The 27,992-nt window shown below is 39.0% G+C and overlaps 1 protein-coding gene across 3 annotated transcripts; it reads right to left on the bottom strand.

Annotated features, from left to right (window-relative positions):
- Positions 1-25: 25 nt before the first annotated feature.
- Positions 26-5,456, bottom strand: MAGEB16 (MAGE family member B16). 3 transcript variants are annotated; one of them, NM_001099921.2, is made up of 2 exons: positions 5,244-5,456; positions 26-1,667 (listed from the first exon to the last, which is right to left on the bottom strand). In NM_001099921.2, the coding sequence occupies exon 2, from the start codon at positions 1,599-1,601 to the stop codon at positions 627-629; it is 975 nt and encodes a 324-aa protein (NP_001093391.1). In that variant the 5' UTR covers positions 1,602-1,667; positions 5,244-5,456; the 3' UTR covers positions 26-626. The 3 variants fall into 3 exon arrangements, with proteins under 3 accessions (NP_001093391.1, NP_001357087.1, NP_001357088.1); NM_001370158.1 differs by having other exon boundaries at positions 5,380-5,456; NM_001370159.1 differs by lacking the exon at positions 5,244-5,456 and adding an exon at positions 4,946-5,044.
- Positions 5,457-27,992: the final 22,536 nt, after the last annotated feature.

Below are 27,992 nucleotides of genomic sequence, written 5' to 3'. Positions count from 1 at the left end.
AGGTATTCAGTAAGAAATACATTGATCATCTTTTATCTATTTTTTATTCCAAATATTTTAAAGCAAAGTTCTTAGCAATGTCATGTCATGCTATACTAGAACACAATATAGATGGATGGTTTTCTAATCTGTTTTACAAAATTAACAAAACCTTTGCTACTAAACTGCATGCAAAACATTAAACGGATATTTAAAAGCAGAGTTCTTAGTAATGTCATGTCATCCTATATCAGAACACAATATAGATGGTTTCCCAATCTGTTTTACAAAATCAGCAAAACATATGCCACTAAACCTCATGAAAAACATTAAATGGATGACCAATATTATTCAAAACTTAAGAGATCTGGAAACTACCTAAACTTCTATTAAAAGAAACATCATCTGAATAATATAGCCATTAAAAAATAAAAGAATAAACTGTCAAGTTACACATACAAAATAGGGATATAGATGATATATACTATTTTTCCTCCAGCCCCACCCTGGACCTGCATCCTTGAACACTAACTGCCTTCTGCAAATGTTACATAAAACATCTATCCTTGTCTTCACTAGGTATGGGAGAAGCTACCAGACATAGCACTGGAACTCACAGTGGCTGTGGAAATGGAGTCAGCCCTGACTCAAATTCTGGCTCTAGCTCTCTCTTCTTCCTCTTTCAGAGCTTCCGCATACTGAGATGGGAAAGAATGTGGGTAAGACCCATGAACTTTGGCCACAAACTCCAGGACTTTCATCTTGCTGGTTTCAGCTTTGGCTCTTGGGCCCCACAGGAATTCATATCGTGCAGGATCACTGTTGGCCACCTGCTGGTACTCCAGGTACTTCTCCTTCACAAAATCTTTGGTGATGAGCATTCTGGGCTCTCCAAAGATGAAGTGCTTCTTCCCAGAATATACTCCCGTCAAATTCAGCACTTCCCAGACTTCCTCTTCAGTGGCACGGTTGCCCTTCATGAAGATCACACCCAGGACAATTATCAGGAGGCCAGTCTTGGGCACACCCTTTTCACCACTCAGCATCCCATCATAGGTGAGGCCCAGTTTGATGAAGAGGCCATAGCAATGGGTGGTGGGGTCCACCTCCACCACATCAAGGCCAAATATCATCTCTAGGTGCTCAGAAGCTCTCAGGAGGATCTCAGAGAAGTGGCTCTCATCATCTTTGATGATAATCTTCAACATATCTGCCTTTGTTATTGGCTTTTTCATCTGACACTTGTGCAGCATGAAATTCACCAAAAAAGCCACTTTCTGGTCGAGAGCATCTGCGGGCACATTCCTGGGGTCTGATGTATCCTCTGAGGAGCTTGGACTATCTTCCTCTTCTTGATTGCTGGAAGCCTCATCAGATTCACTTGATGAGGTGGTTGTGACGGCAATGGAAGAGGAGCAGAAACTCTGAGGAACCTCAAGAGGACTCTCTGCCTTAGCAGCAGGAGCTTCCTTCAGTTTGCCAGGCACTAGAGGATGGGAGGAGGAGAGGAGGGTCTTCTCCAGAGCCTTGGAGACCTGTGCAACCTCCAGGCTCTGGGTCTCACTGAAGGTCTGAAGGTGCTGATCATGTGTGCATCGTGGACTCTCCTGATCCTGAGACATGATGACCCTTGTGGGTGGCAGTAGGCAGGAGTGTGGACAGGAGGGCAGGCAATGAAGAATCACTGCCTAAGGGAGAGAGAAAGGGTGTAAATGTCCTCAGCTGGTAAACTCAACTGCGGTAGCTCTGATGGAAGCCACTGCCTATAGACTTCTCCTGACAGCAGTGTTATAGAGCCTCACAGATCTGATATTGTGTTTTCTGGGTCTACCAAGAACCTGAAGGATGAAGTGAGAATTCTCAGGGTGCAGCCAGCCAACCCAACGTGAGAATTTTTCAGGTTCACAGTAGACACTTGTAGTTGGGCTCAGTACAGCTCCTTTTGTTCTGAGGAGGGTAATGTCATCAGTTGATGGCCAGAAGTGCCAGTAACTTGGCACCTGATAGGGCCTGTGCCACTTCCCCTGTGGTAATGTGGGGCTGTGCCCCCAAGACCAAAGTCAAAAGGAAGTGTCAGGTACCTCCTCCAGTTACCCAACCTGGAGTTTACCAGGGCTGATAGCAGGACCTAGATTCTGTGAGAGGCACTGTAATGGTATGGGTAGTCCCCTCAGTTATTACTCAGGTGCCTTACTTTGAATCCAGGCTGGTCCTGGGATCCTTCCTTCTGTTAACCTAATGTTGTCCCCTCAGACAAAAGGTTCCACCTCCTCAAGACCCTGGAGGAGGTAGTGAGGTGTCACCTCCACCTAACAGCTTTACCCATACCCACTCAGGGCTGACAACAGTGCAGTACTTGAGTCTTCAGAATCCCTGCTCTTCTGGGGTGGGTGGCCCTTAGTTTTCATTCGGGCTCCTTGACTTGGCTAGTGATGGTGACTTACCAGTATACTAATGCCACTCTCCACCTTCAAGAATACCTCATCCTCCTGAGTCACCTGAGAAGGAAGTGATAAAGGACACTACCTATCTGCAATTACTGGGGATTCACAGTGTTAATAACAAAGGCTGTACACTGTGAAGCTTTCTTTGTCCTTGTGTCCTGTGTCCTTTTTCCTCTGTGGACCTTACTTGGGGTCCTTACTGTGACTTTTCACAGGCCCCGGCCTCCCTTGTCTACTGATCTGATATGATGTAGGTACACTAATCAAGAACCTCACATGACAGAAACCCTCAAAAAGGAGGAGTGGGTGCTTGTCACATGATCCCTGCCCAGTGCTCCCTGGCTGAAAAAGTTATCAGGGCTCTTTGGCGACATATATCCTGGAGTGGATTCCTATTGGTCCTTACTCTGTGTCTCTATGTTAACTCCTTGCACTTCCTGGACACCCAATCCAATGCTTATCTGAACCTTTGCCTTCATTTCAAGACTACCACCTCCATAAGACCCCAGTGTATGAAATAAGCAGGACAGGGCTCTGTGGCGATTACTCTTTTCTGGGGTGAGTGTTCCCATCGGCCTCACTTAATGTCCTTCCCTTGACTAATGGAAGCATCTGGGACCTGATATCACTTCCTTAGACCAAAACCTTTGTTATCCTGAGTTCACTGAACAGGAAATAAGTAGATATCTCATCCTGACAGCCCTGCCCAGAGCCTCCCACAACCGACAGCAGGGCTAAGCAGGGCTACGTTCTGTCCTCATTATCTGGGATGGGTGGTTCCCTGAGACCTCACTCAGGGTCCTTACTTTGACTACTGGTTGGGCTTCAGTCCCCATCTTCTGATAGCTAATGCCACTCCTGCCGAAAAAAGAAAAATCTCATCTCCCTGTGGCAACTGTAAAGGAAGAGATTAGACATCTCTCAGTCTTAAGTCTGTGTCTTCACCTAACCTCTCGGTACCCCTTATGCACCTACCCCTATATTGACTTGAGGCTGCTATTCAGACCATGACACTCACTTCCTGAGACCCCTGAAGATGAAGACAGTATGGAAATTCTTCCCACTCCTGCCTTGGACTTCCAAGGGCTGAACTCAGAGGCAGAGTGGAGCTCATGGAGATCCCAAATGTACTGGAATGGGTGTCCCCTTCATCTATACTCAATGTCTACAATTTGGCTCCAGGCACTGCGAGAGACTCCTCCTCTCTGCTGGCCTGATGTTCCCTCCTTATGCTAAAGATTCACCCCTCAGTGACTACCAAGGATGTGAGGGGACACTTCATCTAGATATCCAGCCTCCTATGACTGACACCATGGGTGGAGACTGTGGGGCCACCTATGTTCTGGGGTGGGTTCTTCTCTCAGTCCTAAGTCCACATCCTTACTTTGAATCATTTAAGCACCCGGGAATCTTCCCTCTGATGGCCTTACTTAGCTCCCTCAAACCAAGGCCTACACTTGCCCAAAACCAAAAAGGATGACATGAAGTTGTCTGACTGGTGGGCCCCCATATCAGGGGTCTCCGAGGGCTGACCAAAGGGACAGAGAACAGCCCCATGGTAACACCCTGTTCCAGAATATGTGGCCCAGATCTTTTTCATGGTCTGGGACTTATCCTTCTGACTTAAGTTTTCCCTCACAATAAGACCTCCTTCTCACTGAACACCATAGAGGAGTGTGTGGATGTCTCATCTGGCTATCTCTGTTTGGGTCTCCCAAACATTCCCTGTGACTTGTGGGTCTACAGTTTTATGCAGTGTATTTTCCCTTCTGACAGAACTCAATGAAACCTGCCAAGGCCTGGAACTCCTTCTGCTGGCCTGATGTAATATACTCAGACAAAACCTTCACTTCCCTAAGACCCCAGGAGAAAATTAGCAGTATCTTCAGTTTGACACCCCTAGGGTGAGTCTCCCAGGGAGGGGAAAAGCTCCTTGGATCCTTCTCTGTCATCAGTTGGCTAATCCCATAATTCTCACACGGGGTCCCCATATTGGAAACTAGTTGGTAATGTGTTCCCTCCAGTCGGCTAACTGATGCTGCCCCCTTCCAACCAAGACTTCATCTCTATGAGATACCCACAAAGGAAATGAGCAAACGCCTCACGAACGGACACCCAAAAATGACAACATGGCCTAGGCACTGTGGCACAACCTCTTTTGTGGAGCCTGCAGAACCTTAAAACTCATTCAGAGGCCGGGCGCAGTGGCTCATGCCTGTAATCCCAGCACTTTGGAAGGCCGAGGCAGGTGGATCACGAGGTCAGGAGATCGAGACCATCCTGGCTAAAACGGTGAAACCCCGTCTCTACTAAAAATACAAAAAAAAAAAAAAAAAATTAGCCGCGCATGGTGGCGGGCACCTGTAGTCCCAGCTACTCAGGAAGCTGAGGCAGGAGAACTGCGTGAACCCGGGAGGCGGAGCTTGCAGTGAGCCGAGATCACACCACTGCACTCCAGCCTGGGCAACAGAGAGAGACTCCGTCTCAAAAAAAACAAAACAAAAGAAACTCAGGGTCCTCACCTGGACTCCTGCAGGGCCTGAGATGCCTTCCTCTGCCGACACGACACTGCCTATATCAGACTAAAGCTTCACCTCCTTCAGACTCCGCAGGCGGAAGTCAGTAAGCAACACTTCCGGCTGCCCTTGCCCCCAAGCCTTGCAGGGCTGACAAACAGGCCGGCCCTCACTCAGTGTGTCCGCCAATGTTCTATTGTGAGTGATCTCTGGTGATCGACTCAGCACTCACTCAAGGGCTTTTTTCTTTTTTAACTCTCGGCAAATCTAAGGACTCTTACCCTTGCCCAAATAAGGACTTCACCTTAATCAGATTCCCGAGGGAGAAATGTGGGGTGGGTTCAGCCTGAAAGTCCAGCCCACGGCCTCCCAGAGTTGACTGCAGGGCCTGGGGCTCTTATCTGCAGGGCGCTCTATTTCCCTCAGTCTCAGAGTTTTACCTCGACACCTGACAGTGCCTGCAGCGACTCGTTCCTCTGATGACTAGGGTGCACCTTCCTCAGATAAGGTCGTCACAGTCCTCGGACTCAGAAGAGGAAATCCGGGGCGTCACATCCAGTTACCCCAGACGGAGGCCTCGCAGGACCAACAAAAGGGGCGGGGCGGGGCGGGGTGGAAAGCGTGAAGCGCCCTGTTCACTCCGATATTGAATATGCTGTTAATTTAGTTAGGATATTGTCTAATTGTGAATAGCCTTGGTTCAAGTCCCCTTTACTTGGACCACCTTTATCTGGTTTTTCTATCAAAAAATGTTCACTTGTAAAAATATTTTGAATAATTTCAAATCTTTTTGGATCTTTTGGATGAGTTTCCATAAGATACTATTTTTTTTTTTTTGAGATGGAGTCTCGCTCTGTAACCGTGGCAGGAGTGCAGTGGCATGATCTTGGCTCACTGCAACCTCTGCCTCCCGGGTTCAAGTGATTCTCCTGCCTCAGCCTCCCGAGTAGCTGGGATTACAGGCGTGCGCTACCATGCCCGTCTAACTTTTGTATTTTTAGTAGAGACGGGGTTTCACCATGTTGGTCAGGCTGGTCTTGAACTCCTGACCTAGTGATCTGGCCGCCTCGGCCTCATAAAGTGCTGGGATTACAGACGTGACCCGTACACTAATTTTTTTCCTCTGAATAGATAGTGCAACTGGCCTTCAAACCTAACTGGTTTTCAAACTGTTTGAGGATGGCTTGATCTTTGACTACAGTTTCAGTTTGTGTTGTTTGACTATATTTCTGTATGTTTTATGAACCTATTTATTCCTTTAGATTTTGCTAAAAATTAGTTCATTTCACTTGGGTTTTCAACTTGAAGGACATAATATTTATAGTAAAATGGTTTATGATACAAATTCTTAAACATATGCAATAGTAGAAATGATAGTACAATGAACCCAATATACTTGACATTTCCCATGTCATCAGTAGTTAATGGTAGCAGCTTGTTCAGATTAAGAATTTGTTCTTTGGCAAAACCACTCCAAAGATTATTCTTTGTACTTTCATTGGGTATACCCAATGCCTGTGTACAGGTCTCCCTTTTTGGTGACATTGGCAGTGCTGAAGATCATGACTTTTATCCATTATCTATAATATTAGGGGCTATACAAGGATAATTATCTCATTCTATTATTCATTCCTAGCTTACTAACTGAAATTCTACTATAGGTACAAACCTTTCCTTATCCACCAGTTGGTTATTCTGAGATAATGGTATACAGTTATTTTATATTTGAATCTCTTCTGCACCTATATTTTGTATAATATCATTGAATATAATAATTTCTGCTTTTTGTAATTAATATTTATAAAATGATATTATATATATATTTCATGTAACTAGAGCAAGAAGGAGAAAATTGCTGACCCCTCCGATTTCTGTGTACTCTAATCTCCTACTGTTGCCTCCTGTTGCAGAACCCAGTTGGCATTCAGATGTGGGGGAGCCTAGGGATTGAGAGGCTCTGTATAGTAGAGAAAGAGCAGAGCAAGGGTAAAGAATGGATCTGAGACAAATAGGTTCAGTATTGGCATACCACTTAACAGATTAAATGACAAAAATTATATGCAAATTTAGAGAAAAAATCGTTCATAAAAATAGTCATCACTCATTCATTATAAAAAATATATTTTCTTAAACTAGATCAAGGACATCTACAAAAGAGCCCTACAGTAAAAATCATACTTCATGTAAAAATATTAAAAACTTTTACATTAAAATTGAGAAGTAGGCAAAGATTCCTGTTATCACCATTTCTATTCTTTATTGTAATGAAGATAATAAAGTAATGGGAAACAGAGGCAATCAAAGAGATTGGGATTGGAAAATAAGGAACAGTGTTTCTGTCATTAAACATGAATAGAATGTATATGAGGAAAATCTACTAAAGAAAAACTATTAAAGCAATAAAAGTATTTTTAAAGGTTCCTGGGTATAATATTAATATGCAAAAATACTCTTTTTTCTGTACCAATTGATAGCATGAAGATTAAATTAAATAAAATATAACTTGTAAGTTACAATAACAAAATACCCAGTTCCTAAAAGTAAATATAATTTGTAAAGTATAAAAATTCTATGGAGGCCGGGCGCAGTGGTTCATGCCTGTAATCCCAGCACTTTGGGAGGCCAAGGTGGGAAGATCATCTGAGGTCAGGAGTTCGAGACCAGCCTGACCATCATGGAGAAACCCCATCTCTACTAAAAAAAAATACAAAATTAGGTGGGCATGGTGGCGCATGCCTGTAATCCCAGCTACTCGGGAGGCTGAGGCAGGAGAATTGCTTGAACCTGAGAGGTGGAGGTTCTTTTGAGCGAATATCACGCCATTGCACTCCAGTCTGGGCAACAAGAGTGAACCTCCATCTCAAAAAAATAAAAAAAAAAAAATTCTGTGGAAGAGTTATACAGCTATTATTTAGAGAAATTTCTAAAGATCTAATTGGAGAAATATAATACCATCTTAGATAGAAGACTCAATATTGTAAACATGTTAATTCTCCCCAAATTTTTTCTACTGATGAGTATAATCCTTTTCTTGCAATAAAGTCACGTAGTTGTTGTTCGTGAATGACTGTGTATATGTGCATATGTGTGTCAAACTTCACAAGCTGATTCTAAAATATAAATAGACTTGCAAATGGCTAAGAACAGACAGTATACACTTGAGAAAGAAAAAGAAGATATGATATTAAGGATTATTAAAACATATAGTAAATAACAGTTTTTAGTAAAGATGCAGGCATAGTCGCGTAGACCAAAGAAACTGAATAGAGAGTGTCAAAACATACCTGTTATACAAGGTCTCCTGATTTGTTAAAAATATGCCACTACAAATAAATGGGGGAAAGAACAGTGTTTTTACTAAGAAATGACAATGGAACAATTTGATATCCATATTAAAAACAAAATATGACTGAAACTCTCCTTCACATTTAACACGAAAATCAATTCCTGGCGGGTTAGAAACATACTTTTAAATTTTTTACTCTGAAAGCTTTCATACTTACATAACAGAAGAGAATACCACATTAACAAAAAAAAATTTAAATTATATCAAAGTTTTTAAACTGGTTTATAAAAATTAGTGTTTATGATAAATGATATGTTATCAAATTAGGTAAAGGATATTTACAAAACATCTATAGTAAATATACTCAATATAGAGACACTGAGAGTTTTATTTTAAAATTGGGAGGAAGGCCAGGTGCAGTGGCTCATGCCTATAATCTCAGCACTTTGGGAGGCTGAGGCATGCGGATCACCCAAAGTCAGGAGTTTGAGATTAGCCTGGCCAACATGGCAAAACCCTGTCTCTATTAAAAATACAAATATTACCCGGCGTGGTGGTGGGCACCTGTAATTCCAGCTACTCTGGAGGCCGAGGCAGGAAAATCACCTGAACCCGGGAGGGGGAGATTGCAGTAACCCGACATTGCTGCCATTGCACTCCAGGCTGGGTAACAAGAGAAAAACTCCGTCTCAAAAATAAATAAATAAATAAAAATAAGAAAATAAAATTGGGAAGAAAACAGGATGCCTGCAATCATCATTTCTAGTCAATATTTTAATGAAGATACTACATTAGGAAAGTAATGGGAAACAGATGAAATCAAAGGGCTTATTCTTGGAAAATAAGAAACAAAGCTGGTATTATTAACAGAGGATTCGAATTTATGAGGAAAATCTAATGATAAACTAATCAATAAAATTGTTTATAAAGTTTCTGACAATAAGATTAACGTACAAACATACACTTTGGTTCTGTGGTAACAAACAGTATGAAAATGAAATTAAATATCATTTGTAAACTACCATAACAAAATACCTGGTACCTAAAAGTAAATACAACTCAATGGAATATAAAAACTGTAACAACTCAATGGAAAAATTACACAGCTACTATGTATAAGTCAATCAAGGCCTAACTAAATAGAGGAATATTATATGTTGGTAGCTAGAAGATTCAACATTATAAACATGTTAATTCTTTTCAAATTCAAACTATAGATGATTGTAATTTTTCTCCCATAAATAAAACCCTAAAGGTTTTTGTGTATCTGTGTATATGTTACATTGTCAGGCTTGACAAGCTGATTATAAAATTTAAATTAATTTGCAAATGGTCAAAACTGTCCCATATCCCCTTAAAAAAAAAAGAACAAAATGTGCTTTACTCTATCAGATGTTTCGAATTACTAAAAATCCATAGTAGTTAAGAACTTGTGATATAAGTCAGAAGCTAGAAAAGAAAAATGGAATAGATTCTCTCTTAGAGTCTCCAGAAGGAACCAACACTGCTGACACCTTGATTTTGGTCGTCTAGCCTCCAGAACTTGAATAAATTTCTGTTGTTTTTAGCCATCAAATGTGTGCTATTTTGTCACGGTAGTCCTAGGAAACTATACACCCTAGAAAGAAGTTATAGTGAGCCGTAGGTCTGCCAGTCCTGTCTGAGGTATACTGGGGTGACCCTTCTATTCTGGGTTAGGTTGTCTTGTCATTTCACATTCAGAATTATCATATCAATGATTGGCAAGGCTTGGGTCTCCTCCCTTCTGCTGCTCTAAAGTTGACACCTCAAACCAAGGCTTTTCTCAGAGAAAAGGAAGCGGTGCTTCAGACACCATCCTTGCCATGTGGTACCCAGTGCTGACAGATCTGTGGCACCCTTTCTGTCTTGAGCTACTGGGGTCTTCAGTTCTCACTGAAGGTCCCCACCTTGACTCCATGTAGGGTCTGGGTAACCAGTGGCTGCACCTTCAGATCACGGATCTCACCTCCCTTAGACCTAATATTAAAAAGTGAAGAGGAGCTTCAGCCCGACGGGCCAGCCTAGGGTATTCAAGGACTGGCCATAAGGGCAGGGCCAGACTCTTTGTTGCTACCTCTATTCAAAAGTGGGTAGTGCCTCGGTCCTCACTCCAAGTCTTTGCTTTCAATTCTGTCAGGGATTGGTGTTTCTCTCCCTTTTGACTTCAGGCTTATTTCTTCACATTAAGACCTACGCCTTGCTGGCCGGGCACAGTGGCTCACGCCTGTAATCCCAGCACTTTGGGAGGCCGAGGTGGGTGGATCACCTGAGGTCGGGAGTTCAAGACCAGCCTGACCAACATGGAGAAACCCAGTCTCTACTAAAAAAAAAAAAAAAAAAAAAAAAAAAATTAGCCAGTTATGGTGGCACATGCCTGTAATCCCAGCTACTTGGGAGGCTGAGGCAGGAGAATCACTTGAACCTGGGATGCAGAGGTTGTGGTGAGCTGAGATGGCGCCATTGCACTCCAGCCTGGGCAACAAGAGCGAAACTCCGACTCAAGAAAAAAAAAAAAAAAAGACCTGCACCTCCCTGAAGAAGCCCTTCACTTTCCTAGGAGGAACTGAAGGCTGTTTCATCTGGCTACAGTTTTTTCTGTGATCTCCCAACACTTACAGCCACAGCAGGTAGGTCAAGGCCTAGAGGTCACCTTCTGTTCTGGGTTGGGTGGTTGCATCAGTTCTCACTCAGGATCCTTAGTTTGGCCCCTGAGAGGATCCACGATTCCTTTTTCTGGTCACTTGAGGCCACACCTCTCAGTCCAAGACCCTCACTTCTGTTCCTTCATAGGAAATTTTGAAGAACACCTCTGCCTTACTCTGCATTCGGCTTCCTAGGACCTAAGTAGGGGAAGTATTCTGTTGTACTCCCATGAATATGGTGTGATGGTTCTCTCAGTCCTCAAACATAAAGCATAATTTTAAATAAATTTCAAAAGTAAAAGAAGAGATATACTAAAAGTTATAGATAAAATTTAAAGGTCTAGTAGTCTGCAGAAAGTGAGGAAAAGGGAAACAGAAAGAAAAGCAGTGGGAATAAACAGAACAGCAAATAAAGTGTCAGACATAATCTTAAGGTATGAATAATTATGTGAAATATGAATGTTCTAAGTGCACTAATTGAAAAAGATTGACAGATGGATAAAATTAATATGATGTAACTATGTGCTGGATAAAATAATGACATAGGCAAAAAATAATGACAGCAATTTAAAAATAAAAATATGGAATATGATGTAGTATACAAACACTAACTTGGTAGGCAGAATTCTAAAAACAAAACCACTTCACTTTGCAAGTTCTAGGAAATATTTATTTATACTTATCTTTGCAAGTTCTAGGAAATATTTATTTATTTCAACATAAATGATTAAAGGTTACACACTATATGATTCAATATATATATAACATGTTTGATAAGACATAATTTTAGATGAAGGACAGATCGGTTTTTGCCAGGGATTTGTGAAATAGGAAGGAGTGTATGTTACTATAAATTGATAGTACAAGTAAGCTTCCTTTTAGCAATTGACAAGTTCTGTATTTTGAATGTGGTAGGAGTTCTATGAATCCATACAGATATAATCTGTAGACACATATATATGTGAATCTATACAAAATTTGTAGAATTATACAAAAAGACATACCCAAAACAAGAAGGTATGCAAAAACTGATGAAGCACATGTACAGTTTCTAGTGTAGTTATTTTATTGTGTCAATGTCAATTTCCTGGTTTGGATAATGTACTATAGTAACATAAGGTGTTACTATTGGGGAAACTAGATGACGTGCACATCACTGGAGGAAGCTGGGTTTTAGGAAAAGCTTGGTAATGGCAACACAATACTCTTCAGCAACATTTTGTGAGTATAATTTTTTAATGAAAGATTTTATAAAGCTGAATAACATGAAAGATGTCATTGTGGAAAAATATTTTAAATGAATATATGTAACAATGCATTGATATTTAGAATATATACAAAACTAAAAATCAATTCAGAAAAAAGACAATTTTATAGCAAAAGGTGGACTAAAAATGAGCAGTTATTTGGCAAGAAAGAGACCTAAATGGCTAGAGTCTACTAATAAGAGATGTTGATAAGGAGTATTGTTGGTGGTGAGTAAATTGATACAAACATTTTCCAGAGCCATTTATCATTAACATGCTCATTTGAATATACAAATTTTCTATGGAATATTAACTTCACTTTGGGGTATGTATTCTAATTATTGCATTTAGGCACGTGAAAAATGTATTAGAATGCTTCTAGCAGCACTTTGTGATACAAAAAAAGTGTCCTTAATGTGGAGAATGTGCTACAATTATATAATGTAATATTAAATATGAAAAAAAGAATCAGTTGGAGCTCTTGGAGTCAACATGGATGATTTTTGTCTTTAGACTGTGGTTGTGTATATATATTTATATGTAAATTCATATATGTATTTGATCAAATATGAATAGTCACGTTTGGAAGTATAGCCAATTTAAGTTAAATATAAGAAAAAAAATGCTCATCTACATCCATATTATCAACGAAATCACAGAAAAAAAAATCCCTTAAGGAAAAGCCCACCAGTTTTCCAGGTACACTAGTGGTCATGCTTCTTATATTTTGATTATGAAGCACACCTTTGATAATAGGATTTGACTTCCATATAATCATAGAACCATCGGGCTTGCTGTCAGGGCTTGAAAAATCTGAGGTCTATTCTTCTCTCTTAAATTAACCTTAAAAAAGTGAAAAGTATTAAGGTGTCCAAAAAACACTTTCACACAACTAGTAGCCTATTCTAGTATTTAAAGCTCTCATTATGAAGAAATTATTTCTGATAATCACTTGAACTCTAATGTGTCAGATTAAAACCAGTTTTCCAAGTGAACGAACAAATATTTATCATTTTTTTCTGACTGTACCTGAGAGATCAGCACATAATTGAAAATTTGAAATTTGTATCCAAATATGATGAAAAATACAAACTCTCATCAGATAAACACAGTAGAGTTAATATATTCATTTATTTCTTTCCATTTCTTTTATAAGTGCATGTTTGTGTTTGTTACATATATGTATATGCATATACACATGGTAAACACATTATATTTACATATTGATACTTATGTAACATCTACTATATGCCAAATGTAAGGAACATGTACTTTATGTACATTTTCATATTTAATTCTCATTATAATCTTATTTGCATCCTCATTTAAAAAAAAATCAAGCACAGAAACATTTAAAAAATTGCCCAATATCCCACACCTCTTGTTACTAAATGTCAGAGTAGAGGTTCAAATTGGCACTTGTACTAGTTATGTAGGTACATAACTATAATATATATACACAGATACACACATGTATACATCACACAAATATTGGCATTTGTTAATTTAACAAAATTATTATTTTGATAGTGTCTGTAGGCAATCCTGAAGGTCCAGGTTCATGAAATGCAATTTATTGAAACAAAGATTAAATATTCCTTGCAGAACTATTTTGTGAGAATTAATGCCTTAAGTGAACCTAAAGATGGACTCCCTTTAAATTTCATGGACATAGAGGGAAAAGTATCCAGAGCTGAGAAAGAAATGAACTGGGGAAATGCAATGGAGACTTGTAGCAATGGGAATCTTTGAACATAACAAATATTAAGAATATGAGAAATATTTGATAAATGCCATTCAAATAGAACATGTGTATGTGTGATTTTGTATTACTCAGGGTATGTATTATATTTGGTATTTATATTTACAAAATAAATTATCAGTTACATCTTATGGTTAACCTAGTTGATTTTTCTTTGCATACTTCTAGTTTCCAAAGACCCTGATGATTTGTATATTCTAAATCATCCATCACAGTCTGTTACAGTAGGTAATTATGCAGACATAAGCAGGGGAGGAGAGGGCCCCCTCTTACCCATCAGGAATATCAGGTGACCATCAGGAGATGGTCAGGTGGTTGTTAAACTGTCTCTCTGAAATAATAATTGGTTGCAGCCCACACCAGAGACTGGCAGGCTCCCAATAGATAGAAAACACCTGAAACTGGTGACCAGCAGCTTCCTGATAAGATCTCAGGAGCTGGGACAGTGGGCTTAAGCATGTGCACTAAGAGGTAAAATGCCAGAGTTCAACTGGTATATGGCCTTCCTCTAGGAACTGGTAAGGGAAAAACACTTCAAGTGAACATGTGCCCAACTTCAGTAAACATACTGTGTGTGCGACACCTCCCAAGTGCTGGCAGGCCACTGTACGTGTGAACAGCCCACCCCAAGGAAAGAATCAGGGAAGGAGCAACACAAGACCCTGGAAGCATGCCAACGTATAAAACTCCATGCTCCTAAATTTCTCAAGTCACCTGTGTGGCTCTCTTCCAAGTGTACTTTACTTCCTTTTGTTCCTGCTCTAAAACTTCTTAATAAATTTTCACTCCTGTTCTAAAACTTGCCTTGATCTCTCCCTCTGTCTTATGCTCCTCGGTTGAATCCTTTCTTCTGAGGAGGCAAGAATTGAGGTTGTTGCAGACCCATAGAGATTCGCCACTGCTAACAAGTAAACCTCAAGTACTTTTTAAAAATATATACATATTTTAATGATCATTGGGATGAATATGAGGACACTCTAATCATCGAAAACCAATCATTTACACTCAAGCTCAATGTTTAAATTGTTTGCAGGGTGTTGAGTGCTAGTTGATGTTATTTATTAAAGAATTAGCCCAGAAATTAAAAATTTATTATTCCTGACCTTTACTATCATAGCGTCTGGATGCCATTACATCACAATGTGCCTATTCTCTTTTTCATGTATGACATCTATTTTTTTTTTGCCTTTAGTGTCAAATTAAATTTACTCACTTTTCCTTTACCTTTACTTTAGAATCTTTAGAAAGCTATAATGTATGAGAACTTTAGATTATGTTTTATTAAATAATATCATTTTGTTAAAAAGTGACCTCACTGAGGTCTTAATTATCTCATTACCCTCTTCTAATTAATTGATGGTTGTTTTCTCTGCCATTTGCTTGTCCTTAATTTGGATTCAGATTCTATTTTAGTCCTCACACTTATTTAAATGATAGCTAATAAGTTCTTCTTTGCGGAATGAAGCATCATTCAACTTTCAAATGTTTCAGATGTGAACCCCAAATATCTGAGACAGGTCTCAGTCAATTTAGAAAGTTTATTTTGCCAAGATTAAAAATGTACCTGTGACAGTCTCAGGAGGTCCTAATGACATGTGCCCAAGGTGGTCGGGGTGCAGCTTGCTTCTATACATTTTAGGGAGACATCAGTAAATTTGTGTAAGATGTACATTGGTTCAGCCTGGTAAGGTGGGACAACTTGAGGTGGGGGCTTCCAGGTAATAAGTAGATAAGAGACAAAAGGTTGCATTCTTTTGAGTCCTGATCAGCCACTAAATTGTGTATTCCACTGAATACACAATTTAGTCTGACTCAGTCAATCAGCATTTTTACCCAAATAGTAGGGCGGAGGAAGTAATCAGATGTGCATTTCTCTCAGGTGAGCCTCAGAGGGATGACTTTGAGTTCTGTCTGTCCTTTGTCCACAAGGAATTTCCTGGCAGGCAAATTGTGAGGGAAGTAGGTAGCTTTTTATCTTCGTAGCTATCTTATTTAGGAATAAGTATCTTTGTAGCTATCTTATTTAGGAATAAATATCTTTGTAGCTATCTTATTTAGGAATAAATATCTTCATAGCTATCTTATTTAGGAATAAAATGGGAGGCAGGTTTGTGTGACGTAGTTGTCAGTTTGACTTTTCCCTTGGCTTAGTGATTTGAGAGTCCCGAGATTTATTTTCCTTTCATACAGATGTTAATAGTGCCGTGATGAAAAATTTCAAATTCTTTTCATAGTACTGAAGGAGTCCATTCATTTCATGCCCATTTTTCCTTCTTTTCCTCACAGGTGCATAGTTTATCTTTCAGTTTTGAACTATGCCAGCCACTAGTTGGCACATTTTATGGTAGGTAAGTGAAAGTAATTGTTAGGGGTGGAAAGTATCCGAGTTACCAGTGGCAAAACCATACAAGTCTGCAGCAACCTCAATTCTTGTCTCCTCAGAAGAAAAAATTCAACGAAGGGTCATAAGGTAGAAAAAGAGACTAAGGCAAGTTTCAGAGCAGGAGCAGATTTATTTAAAAGAAAGAAAAAAAAGCTTTAGAGAAGGAAAGTACACTTGAAAGAGATCCAAGCAGGTGACTTGAAGGTCATGTGCCCCATTTAACCTTGATCCTAGGACTTTATATGCTGGCCCCCCTCTGGAGTCTTGTGTCCCTTTCCCATGATTCTTTGCTTAGGGTGGGCTGCCCACATGTGCAGTGCCCTTCTTATGCTTGGGAGGTGAGCACATGCAGTGTGTTTAGGGTGTACACATGCCCATTTGAGGCTTTCTTCCCTTTTCCTGAGGAGTGCACCCTGAAGGTCATACTCGGCCATTTTGTCTCTTAATGCGCATGCCCAGGCTTACTTGCCCAATACCTGAGATCATATTGGTGCCCTTTTTTCTCCCTGGTGCCTGCATTCAATTAACACTTTAATGTAACAGCTGTGAACCATCACGTGATTGTCTCTCCCTGGTGCTGGCTGCTGAATTATCATTTTCAGAGAGGAAATGTGATCATTGTTGAACCATCACCCAATGATTGCCTGACATTCCTGGTGAGTCAGGGGAGCGTTCTCTCCTGCCCTGCTCATGCCTGTCTAACTACCTGTAACAAAATTATAATATTTTACCCCAGAATATATTTCTTTGACATATTTTGAAATGGCTGCAGCTTGGCCATTCTGACAGAAGTGGCCTTACAAAGCTGTCTTAAGTAGTGAAAATTTTCATCTGTGAAGAATCGCCATTAATGCAGCCATGCCCCTTCCCTTTTCTATGCCTTCCTGCCACCATCCAGAAAAGACCGAGAGTCTGACACCTTTCAATGTCTGAAAAGAAACATTTACCATCCATTCTCGCTGAAGAAGGCTTCATCTATATAACAAGGCCACCTTTGCTAGCCAAGCTTCTTCCTTTCCCTCTCAACCTGTCTTGCCACTAAACCTGATTTACCTGTTTCTAATCATGCTCTGCATTCTTTACTGTGGCCTCAGGATGATATTGTTTTTTCTAAGTTAATTTTGTTTAAATCAATCATTTAATATTCTTCATCCTAAAGACATACATCTCATTTCTTTGTTCAGTGTTGATTTGTTTTTACATGCTATGATGAGCAAAATCCTAAATATGGCCCCCAAAGCTTTCAGCCTCATAATTGTTCATCAAACACTGATCAATGTCCTTCTAGGAATACATTTTGCAAATGTAATTAAAGCCCCGGTCAGTTTGCCTTAAAATATGAACATTATCTGGGTAGTCCTTACTCATTCAGGTAAGAAGTTAAACATTACTCAGGGAATGTATTATATTTGTTATTTATATTTACAAACTAAATTATCAATTACATCTTATGGTTAACTTAGTTGATTTTTAACTAGGTTAGAAACTAGTAGAGTTTGTCTGCATGTACAGAAGTGATAGAAAGATGCACTCCTGCTGACTTCAAGGAAGAAGGAATAAAGTGCCATGTTGTAAGATGGCCTGCGAGTATGAAGTCTTTAATTGTTAAGAGTCACTTCTGCCTGATGACTAGAAAGAAAATGGTGTCTCAGTCTTATAACCATAAGGAAACAAGTTCTGCCAACAACCATTGTGTTTGGAAAAGGATCCAAGCCTCAGATGGGTGTTGTAGCCTGGCTGGCACCTTGATTTTGGTAAGGGAGGAGACCACCCCTCAGATTGTCTTATGACCAATTTCTGCCTCAAAGAAAAAGTAGGAGTTAAAGAAAAGACAGAAGTGAAATCAGTAGTCAGATAGCCCGGTGCTGCATTCCAGGCCTGGTAGTTAAAGAATGACCCCTGACCTAACGGGTTATGTTATCTATAGATTCCAGACATTGTATGGAAAAGCACTGTGAAAATCCCTGTCCTGTTCTGTTCTGTTCTGATTACCAGGGCATGCAGCCCCCAGTCACATATGCACTGCTTGCTCAATCGATCACAGTCCTCTCACGCAGACCCCTTAAAGTTGTGAGCCCTTAAAAGGGACAGGAATTGCTCACTCGGGGAGCTCGGTTTTTGGAGGTGAGTCCGCCGATGCTCCCAGCTGAATAAAGAAAGCCCTTTCCTTCCACAACTGGGTGTCTGAGGGGTTCTTATCTGCAGCTCATCCTGCTACATTGGGACCTGGGCAGTGAACCCAAACATGCCACATTGGACTTTTGACCTACAGAACTGTGAGATAAAAAATCAGCGTTGTTTTAAACCTTTGAGTTTATGCTAATTTTTATGGCAGCAATAGAGAACTAACACATATATGTAATTATTTTATGTGTTGTTCTCTTTCCCAATGAAGCTTAAAATTTCTTGATATCATGAATTATTACTTTTGCTTATTGTATGTTTATACTAAGCATAGTGATCAATCAAAATTCTATTAACTGATCATCTGCTTTTAATTAATAATTACCTAGATCATGTATAATACTTGATTCATAACACCATCATCATTGCTATCATAGAATCAAAAAATTATTTTAACAGTGATTCCAGAAGGAGAAAAAAAAAAAGAAAAAGACCACTCTATCAAATGTCCCCTTGGGTCCAGTTTACCTGTGATGTGCTCCTGTCCCTCACCTTCTACATGCTTAGTCCTAACTGTGCACTTCTAACCTTCTTCAGAAAATTTCCATTGGATTATTACTGTTCAAAGCCTGAGGTATACCTGGGTGTTCATGTTCCCTGTGGCAAACTCATAGCCAATATCTGTTTGGTGTGAGAGTTTAAGACCCCAGGTCTCTTGCCTCAAACAGAAAAAAAACTCTGGTGCAATTTCAGTTCTACAGAACCCTATGGGATCAGACTGACACTGACTTTGACTGAAATATTATCTTTTATTTGGAGTAACTGATTCTCTGCCCTGCTTACTCTGCTTCCCACTTTTTTTCTTCTGGGAGCATTTTCTTAATCACATACCTACGAATTCTCATTTGTAGGTCAGCTTAGTGACAATCCACAAGCAGCTGCACATGACAACTACAAAGCGAATGGAAGAAGCACTCTCAAGTGGTCATAAAATGATGGTGGACTAAAGAAAAATAAAGTTGAAAATAATAATTTATTCCCTATATCAAATAGGAATACAGCTATACTAATATTATTTTCACACAACCAGTTTTTAATGAAGGTAACAGTTCATTTCCAATTTTCCTCTGATAAAAGAATAACCAACTTACACAAAATTGGCTTCTGCCCATATTCTTCCATGAAGCAAAAATTTTACAAGTTATACAGGATGGCTATATGGGCACTTAGTACAATTATTATGATTAAAAATGCATTAAAACAGAAAAGTGAACAGCACAGCAGTTAATATTAATTCTCTATGTCTCAATATTTTATGATTTTAAATAAATTTAAATTTTAAATTTTGCCAGGTATGGTGGCTCATGCCTGTAATCTCAGCACTTTGGGAGGCCAAGGTGGAAATATTGCTTGAGCCCAGGCATTCAAGATCAGCCTGGGGAACATAGCAAGACTCTGTTTCTACAAACAATAACAAAAAATATTAGCCAGGTGTGGTGGTGCACACCTGTGGTCCCAGCTACTCAGGAGGCTGAGTTGGGAGGTTATGTAAGCCCAGGAGTCTGAGGCTGCAGTGAGCCATGTTTGTATCACTGCATTGCACTCCAGCCTGGGCAAAAGAATGAGACCTTGTTTCTAAATAAATTTCTATTTATTTTATACATTATAAGGATATATAATAAAATATATTATAAATTATAATACATATTATTAAATTAAGCTTAAATTTAAATAAAATATTTAAGAACTATTATTTTAATAAAAATATTTTTTAAAGGGCAATATTTTGTACCTTGTCAGAAAACAATTGCAATAGTTATAGATTCGCTATGCCTTTCCACACATACAGGGACAGTTAGTGGTAGAGCATTTACTCAGGGCGGGTGGATCACCTGAGGTCAGGAGTTCAAGATCAGCCTGACCAACATGGTGAAACTCAGTCTCTACTAAAAATGCAAAAATTAGCCGGGCGTGGTGGTGCACACCTGTAATCCCAGCTACTCAGGAGGCCAAGGCAGGAGAATTGCCTGAACTCGGGAGGTGGACGTTGCAGTGAGCTGAGATCACAACCATTACACTCCAGGCTGGGCAACAAGAGTGAAACTCCATCTCAAAAAATAAAAAAGTAAATAAATAAATAAAAGTATTCAATATTAAAGTTACCAGAGGCTGGGAAGTGTAGTTGTTTGGGGGGCAGGTGGAGATGGTTAATGGGTCCAAAAAAATAAGAAAGAATGAATAAGACCTACTATTTGACAGCACAATCGGGGTGACTATGGTCAGTAATAACTTAATTCTACATTTTAAAATAACATAAAGAATGTAACTGGATTGTTTGTAACTCACAGGATAAATGTTTGAGGGGATGGATACCCCATTCTCCATGATGTGTTTATTTCACATTGCATGCCTGCATCAAAACATCTCATGTACCCCATAAATATATTTACCTACTATGTACTCAAAAAATTTTACAAACATTTAAAGAATAATAATAAAAAAGTCACAGTGAAATGAAAAGGCACTCCAACATTGTGGATTTCAATTCCATTCTGTTATTTAAATTACAATCTGGCATGATTTAGGATGGTCTCCCTGGGCATAAGTTGGGAAGGACATTTCTGATAAAAACGAGAGGATTGTGTGATAAAAGTGATGCTAAAGGCCTTGTACTATTTGTGCCAGGTACTGTGTTATTACCTAGCATTCATTATATCATTTCCATATAGCCTCTGAATAGTCTTAGAGAGTAGGTAATATTTTTCTTGGACTTTGTTTCTGATATCAGGGCCCTGAAAAAGCCAGTAGTTGTTTAAAGTCACACAATTAGAAAATAATGGGGTCATGTACAAGTTCCCCTTGCCTGAAATAAAGCTATGTACTTAGCCACTGCATGAAAATGGTATGTTTCCATATCTGTCTTGCTGTTCGTATACTCAAGTTTGGAACGTCTGGCCAAAGCCATATAATCAATGATGAATGGAAGCACTTATGATCTTTTGAACTAACTTCTTTTTTCAATTATGTAATTCACTAACACACATTTTAATCATTTCTAGCTGTCCTAAAATTTACAATTGAATATGTTCATGGTAGACAGTATTTAAATAGTACATATTTTGGAAGCTATAAATATTCTCTTTGTTTTTAGGAAGAAGCACACTTGAATTAAATGTTCCCCAGAGGAAAGACTAACCAACACTTTTAAAATTGACTTGACCAAATGCTTTATGGAGCATATGGTAAATCTATAGCAAGACATCTCTAGAGTCTAATATTTATTTATTTTTCTTTTTCTGTTATGCAAACCCAACAATCCTTATTAATGGTTTCTTCCCCCATCCCAACTCTACACTTTAAAATATTCCAAACATACCGAACAGCTGAAATATTAGTACAATACACACACACACATTCTCCACTAGTTCAACAATTAACATTTTGTAACATCTGTTTTCTGCCTTTCTCTATTTTATTTGAAATTTATTTCTTAATCTACATATATTAGGTTGGTGGAAATGCCATTGCGGTTTTTGCCATGACAAAAACTGCAATTACATTTGCACCGACCTAAGATGTGCACACACACACACACACACACACACATTCACACATTTACCCCTAAATATTCAGCATTTGTCTTCTAAAAAAAGAACATGCTTTCAATTCTATTCTATCATTATAACTAATACAGTTTAATTATGATAAAGCAACATTATTTAATGTATAGCTCATGTTCAAGAGTCCCAGTTTTGAGCTATATTTAAAACCACATCCTGGTAATATGTTTCCAAATTGGGATCACCCATTGAGTTTTGTTCACTTCAATCTAGGACAGTCTTCCAGCCTTCTCTGATCCTTTATAACATTGACCTTTTTTAAAGAATTGAGGCCAAGTTTTCTAAATTCCCTGGTTGTCCTCTCATGAGTGGATAAGGTTTGAACATTTCTGGAATGAAAAATTAATATGTGCTACAGTGTAGTTCTAGCTTTTTTCCCATCAGGAAGCACAGCAGGTCAGAATGCCCAGTTATTAATAATGCTGAGTTTTGGCAGGGTGCCGTGGTTCACACCTGTAATCCCAGCACTTTGGGAGGCCAAGGCAGGCAGATCACAAGGTCAGGAGTTTGAGACCAGCCTAGCCAACATGGTGAAACCCCGTCTCTACTAAAAATACAAAATTTAGCCAGGCATGGTGGTGTGCACCTGTAATCTCAGCTACTCAGGAGGCTGAGGCAGGAGAATCGCTTGAACCCAGGAAACAGAGGTTGCAGTGAGCCAAGACTGTGCCATTGCACTCCAGCCTGGGCAATAGAGTGAGATTCCATCTCAAAAAAAAATAATAATAATGCTGAGTTTGTTATTTGGTTACAGTGGTGTCCACCAGATGTCTTTATGTTAAATATACCCGTTGGCAACTAATAAATGACCTATGGATGAAACTTTGAGACTGTGAACAGCCTTTTCCTTATCAATGTTTCTCCCAATGGCCCTGAAGATAGTGTACAGTCTGTGTTTGAGTTGTAAACGAAAATGAAATTCCAAGGTTCCCCAATTATCTGAATGGATCCCTCCTCTCAGTCCAGGGCATTTGAGAGTTAACCTGAAAATCTATTTCAGGCCATGATGGAAGAGGGGGTTGGACATGCCTCATTGTCCTCCTCCCAGTATTAACATCAACACAGACCTTAAATCTGATAAGAAACATTTATAATCTGTTCTCTCTGAAGCCTGGTACCTGGAGGCTTCATCTGTATGATAAAACCTAGGTCTCCAAAATCCCTTATTGAAACACAGACATTTCTTTCTATTGATAATAACTCTTACAACTAATTGACAATCAGAAAAATTCTAAACCTACCTATGACCTGGTAGCCCATGCTTTGAGTTGTCCTGTCCTGCCCTTCCAGATCAAACCAATGTAAATCTAACATATATTGATTTATGTATCATGTCTCCCTAAAATGTATAAAAGCAAGCTGTACCCTGACCACCTTGGGTACATGTTGTCAGGACCTTCTGAGGCTGTGTCATGGGCGTGCCCTTAACCTTGGCAAAATAAACTTTCTAAGTTGATTGAGACCTGTCTCGGATATTTGGGGTTTACATATTGGCAACCACTATGGGATTCTGAGTGGAGGTGCCCCTGACTTTTGACAAATGTACCAGTGCCTGGTACCAGCTTGAACTATATTTATGGTTCAACCAATAGGACAATTTGCTGAGGCCTGGGAGCTCCCCTCCCTCCAGAGAATCCCTGATATCCCAAAATTTGGTTGAGATCTAAGTTATTTTGCTCTACAACTCCTTTTCTGGAGTTTTACTTGCTTCCAAAAAGAAAGGCAAGTTTTCCTGCTTGCATGACAATGGAAGGCAGTAGTTTCATTCTGGAGTTTTAGCTTGCTTCCAAAAGGGAAGGAGAGTTTGAGTGTGTTCTTGCTTCTAGAATTGTGGGGAGCTGTCTTCAGCTGGGGTTCCATTCCTAGGTAAGTAGCTGAATTTTTTTTTTCTCTCTTGAAAGTTCTCCTTAATGACTGAAGGTTAAAATTGACAACCAGCTGGTCTTCATTTCTCCTTACCATTATAGTGCTCCGTGGTCATATTGTTGTTGTTGTTGTTTTTAATTTTTGGTTTGTTTCAGTCTTTCTCCCATCATAGTTGACCAACTCTACCCAACTTGGTCAAATCCAAATGAGAATTTCAAATTATGAGGAACAAGCCCTCTGAATTGGCTAAAGTTTCTCTCAGCTGCAAAAACAACAACAAAAACAAAAAAAAAAACAAAAGAAAAATAACACAAAACAATAAACAAAAGAAAAAACCATGTGCTTGGTTTCTGTGTTTGCTTCCTGTCTTAAAAATAAATAAATAAATAATTTTTTTTGGTTTACTTTCCTTTCACCCTATTCCTCCTTTTCCCTTTGCCATCTTTGGTACCAATAAAAAATCTAGCGAAGGCGTACAATGACTCAAACCCCTCAAATAACTAAAAACATTGGTGCCATTCACCCCTTTTTGGAGTGTTCTGTTTTCTTTGTGGAGTTTAAAGAGTCATAGGCAGATTATTTTTAGAACTAAAGCTCTGTTTTCCTGTATTGCATTACCTGTCCTCTTTGGCTTTGGGCGGGGGCAACAGAGATTACCTTGTAGTGTGAGAGGATTTGACCTTGGCATGTGAAATGATGGATGAGAGCTACAAAGTTAGGTGTAGCTGAGGACAGTCTACAGGAAGTGACCTTACATTTTTTTTTTTCCTTTAGGAAGTTGTTGTTTAGGATCCTAATTCTAGTTCAGAGATGCATTCTAAACAGCTTTCTCCATTGCCTTTCCTCCCAAAATTAATCTCAATTGGCTTGTCTGCACATATGTATGAGCAACTGTACTGTCATTTTCTTTTTCTTTTTTCTTTTTTTTTTTTTTGAGACGGAGTCTCGCTCTGTCGCCCAGGCTGGAGTGCAGTGGCGCGATCTCGGCTCACTGCAAGCTCCGCCTCCTGGGGTCATACCATTCTCCTGCCTCAGCCTCCTGAGTAGCTGGGACTACAGGCACCCACCACCACACCCAGCTATGTTTTTGTATTTTTAGTAGAGACGGGGTTTCACCGTGGTCTTGATCTCCTGACCTCGTGATCCCCCCGCCTCGGCCTCCCAAAGTGCTGGGATTACAGGCGTGAGCCGCCATGCCCGACCTCTGTCATTTTCATAGATAAATGAGAGACTGAGTTTCGTCAGGTCTGAAGAGAAAGGACATTTTGATCCTCCCAGCCAAAAGGTGCCCCTGGGTGACTGGGGGCCACGTGGGAGTGTCTGGGGGATTGACCCCTCCCATGATATGCAGCGGCCCTACAGGGAACTCCCAACAAAATTAGTTTAAAAAGGCTCATCCAGGAAATGAATATAAGAGCTGGTCACTGCAGTTTTTGAGCCTTCTCAGAGATGCTGGACTTCCAGGGAGAGAAACTGAGGCACGTAAGAAGGCAGAAACAACTCGGTGGTGACACATTGTGGAGTCTGGCCCATAATCAGTACATTTTGATCCACTACACTAAACCCTAGGCCACAGCTCAGTTCCTCCTTTTAAGAAAAAAATGTGGGAAACAAATATTCCAAGAATGACGAAAGACAAGGAGAATGAACCCCCAGTTGGTTTTATGGTGCCTCTACTTGCACACTACTGTGTAAATGGAAGGATATGCCAGAGTTTTTAATACTCCAGCTGGTTACACATTAGGTCTGGTCTTGTGCACATTTTAAAATGATGGGCAAATTACATCAATGAAAATTCAGAGCCCAAAGGTCGACCTGCAACTCTGAAGTTTCTGAGTTCTCTCTCTCTGTTTTCTTTTCTGCCTGCTTTAAGTCTGCTGTTACTTTTCTACTGAGATAAAATGTACCATTTGCATCCAACTGTTACCAGATGGAATGTCTTGACTGTGAGTTTTCCAGTTTCTTGGTGTGTTGAACAAAGAATTGAACCAAACACAAACAAGCAACAAAAGAACAAAGCAATGAAAGACAAAGCAACAAAAGCACAGATTTATTGAAGCCAAAGTACATTCCAGAGAGTGGGAGTAGGCTAGAGCAGGCCTTTCAAGAACGCCCCCATTAGGGTTTTTATAAAGCTGAAACAATGTGGTAACACACCTTTAAGGGTCTCCAATTGGTTACACCCTATGAAGGACTGGCCTATGAGCAGTCAGGGGCTGAAGTGGAAGCTTCTGTGTTGTTATCACAGGCGTGAGGATGTGGCCTGTATACTGCCTAATCTTGCCTAGAACTGTCTGCACCTGCTGTTCTTCTGCTTATGTGAACTGGCCGTACCTGCTGTTCTTTTGCTTATGCCTTAACCCTTGGTTACCCTTATTCCCTATTCTCTTGCCTTAAAACCATTTCTTCTTGTTATTGTTTTTGCAAACCAGTGAGTTTGTATTAATATCTCATGGCCAGAGTTCTGATATACAAGTTATAGGATCTTTGTATGAGTGTGTAAGTGTGTGTTTATGTGTACAAACACACATTTTGTTATGTGTTTTTGGCCACAAGTTACCAAATTAGGTTAAAGTTAAAGAATATTTATAAATTAAATAATAAGACTAAATGCTTTTCTATTTCACATGACTTAAGCAAAATCTTTAAAAAATAAGCTTGCTTTAATATTATTGGTAAAGTAATATCAGCAATGCCTTAAGAATTATCAGCATACATTTTTGTTTGCATTTATTGTTCAAGAGATTTCACACTTATCCTTGCCAAATACTATAAGGTGTCAAAATTTGGCATAAGGGTTATAAAACCATAAGCCCAGCCCAAAACAGAATAATCTTTGCTTTTGTAATTCTTGATAAATAAGATGTTAATATTGTTGGTTTAATGAAAACAGCTAAATCTTGAATTATAGGTAGAATAATCATATATTTAATCACAAGTTTCTTATTTAGGTACAGCCCTGAAATTCACAGGCTATTAAAATGGTTAACAGGGAAATAACTTTAAATGATGACTATCATAGTTTTTATAAATAATCTAGGTAAACTATTAAAATAAAATAATTAGGTAAATGTATTGAAATAAACACTTGTATAGAAAGTTGTCACAATTTAGAATCTAAAGTTATAATAAATTAAATAATAGATATTTCATTAAATGTCTGGGTATTTTCCAATTTAAAAAAATTATGTTTTAGAAAAACATTTTTTCTAGAAAATGTGTTTTTATTAAAAGGTAAATAATTGTTGTGTAATTCAAAGCTTATTTAAAGGTTATATATAAAACAAGGTAAAAGGAATCAGAAAATATGAAAATGTAAAGAAACTTATCAAAATAAAGAAGTATTTTTTGGTAAGAAAGCTTAAAAGAAAAGTAATTTCATATAAGGAAGGATCTTATATGTTGGTTTTTAATTCTAAAATAAAATGACTGGGTTGTTCGAAACATAAAAATATTTATGACAAACCAGAAAGTCCAAGCATGTCCTCAATGGTCTAACTCATAATAAGGTTAGTAAAAGATAAATTTGTTAAAATGTTATGTTATTAACTGGCTATAGAGAAAATCATAATAAATAGTTTTTCTAAAAATTCAACTTTGATATTAAAAATACACTCATAGAAAACCAAAGAACTGGTTAAAACATGATTTTATTAAAAGTATTGTTACTCTTAATCCAAGAAGTTTTTAATTTTTAAATTCCACAATCTATTTCTTTATGAAATTATTCAGATTGATATCTCAGAAGCTGTACACTGTTACTTTAGCTCCTTCTCTCTTCTGAGTAGGCCTGAGATGGTAACTCCTTCCTTTAACTTTTGTTGTCTCCTGTAACTTTTAAAAATTAATAGTCTAAGACAGAGAATTTGTAAACAGACAAATGAAATATCTTTTGGACCTGCCTTTTTTATTCTGCATTCCTGTTTTATCTATATGTTTATATGTGTCATGTGGAAGTAATATTTCACTACCAAATTACCTAAAAGAGCACTAATCAATTGACTTCAATGAGTGAGTGCTGGCCGGGCGTGGTGGCTCACCCCTGTAATCCCAGCACTTTGGGAGGTTGAGGTGGGTGGATCACCTGAGGTCAGGGGTTCAA

The sequence above is a fragment of the Homo sapiens genome, chromosome X (genome assembly GCF_000001405.40).
Source record: "Homo sapiens chromosome X, GRCh38.p14 Primary Assembly".
NCBI lineage: Eukaryota > Metazoa > Chordata > Mammalia > Primates > Hominidae > Homo > Homo sapiens.
This window is presented reverse-complemented; position numbering and strand designations above follow the sequence as displayed.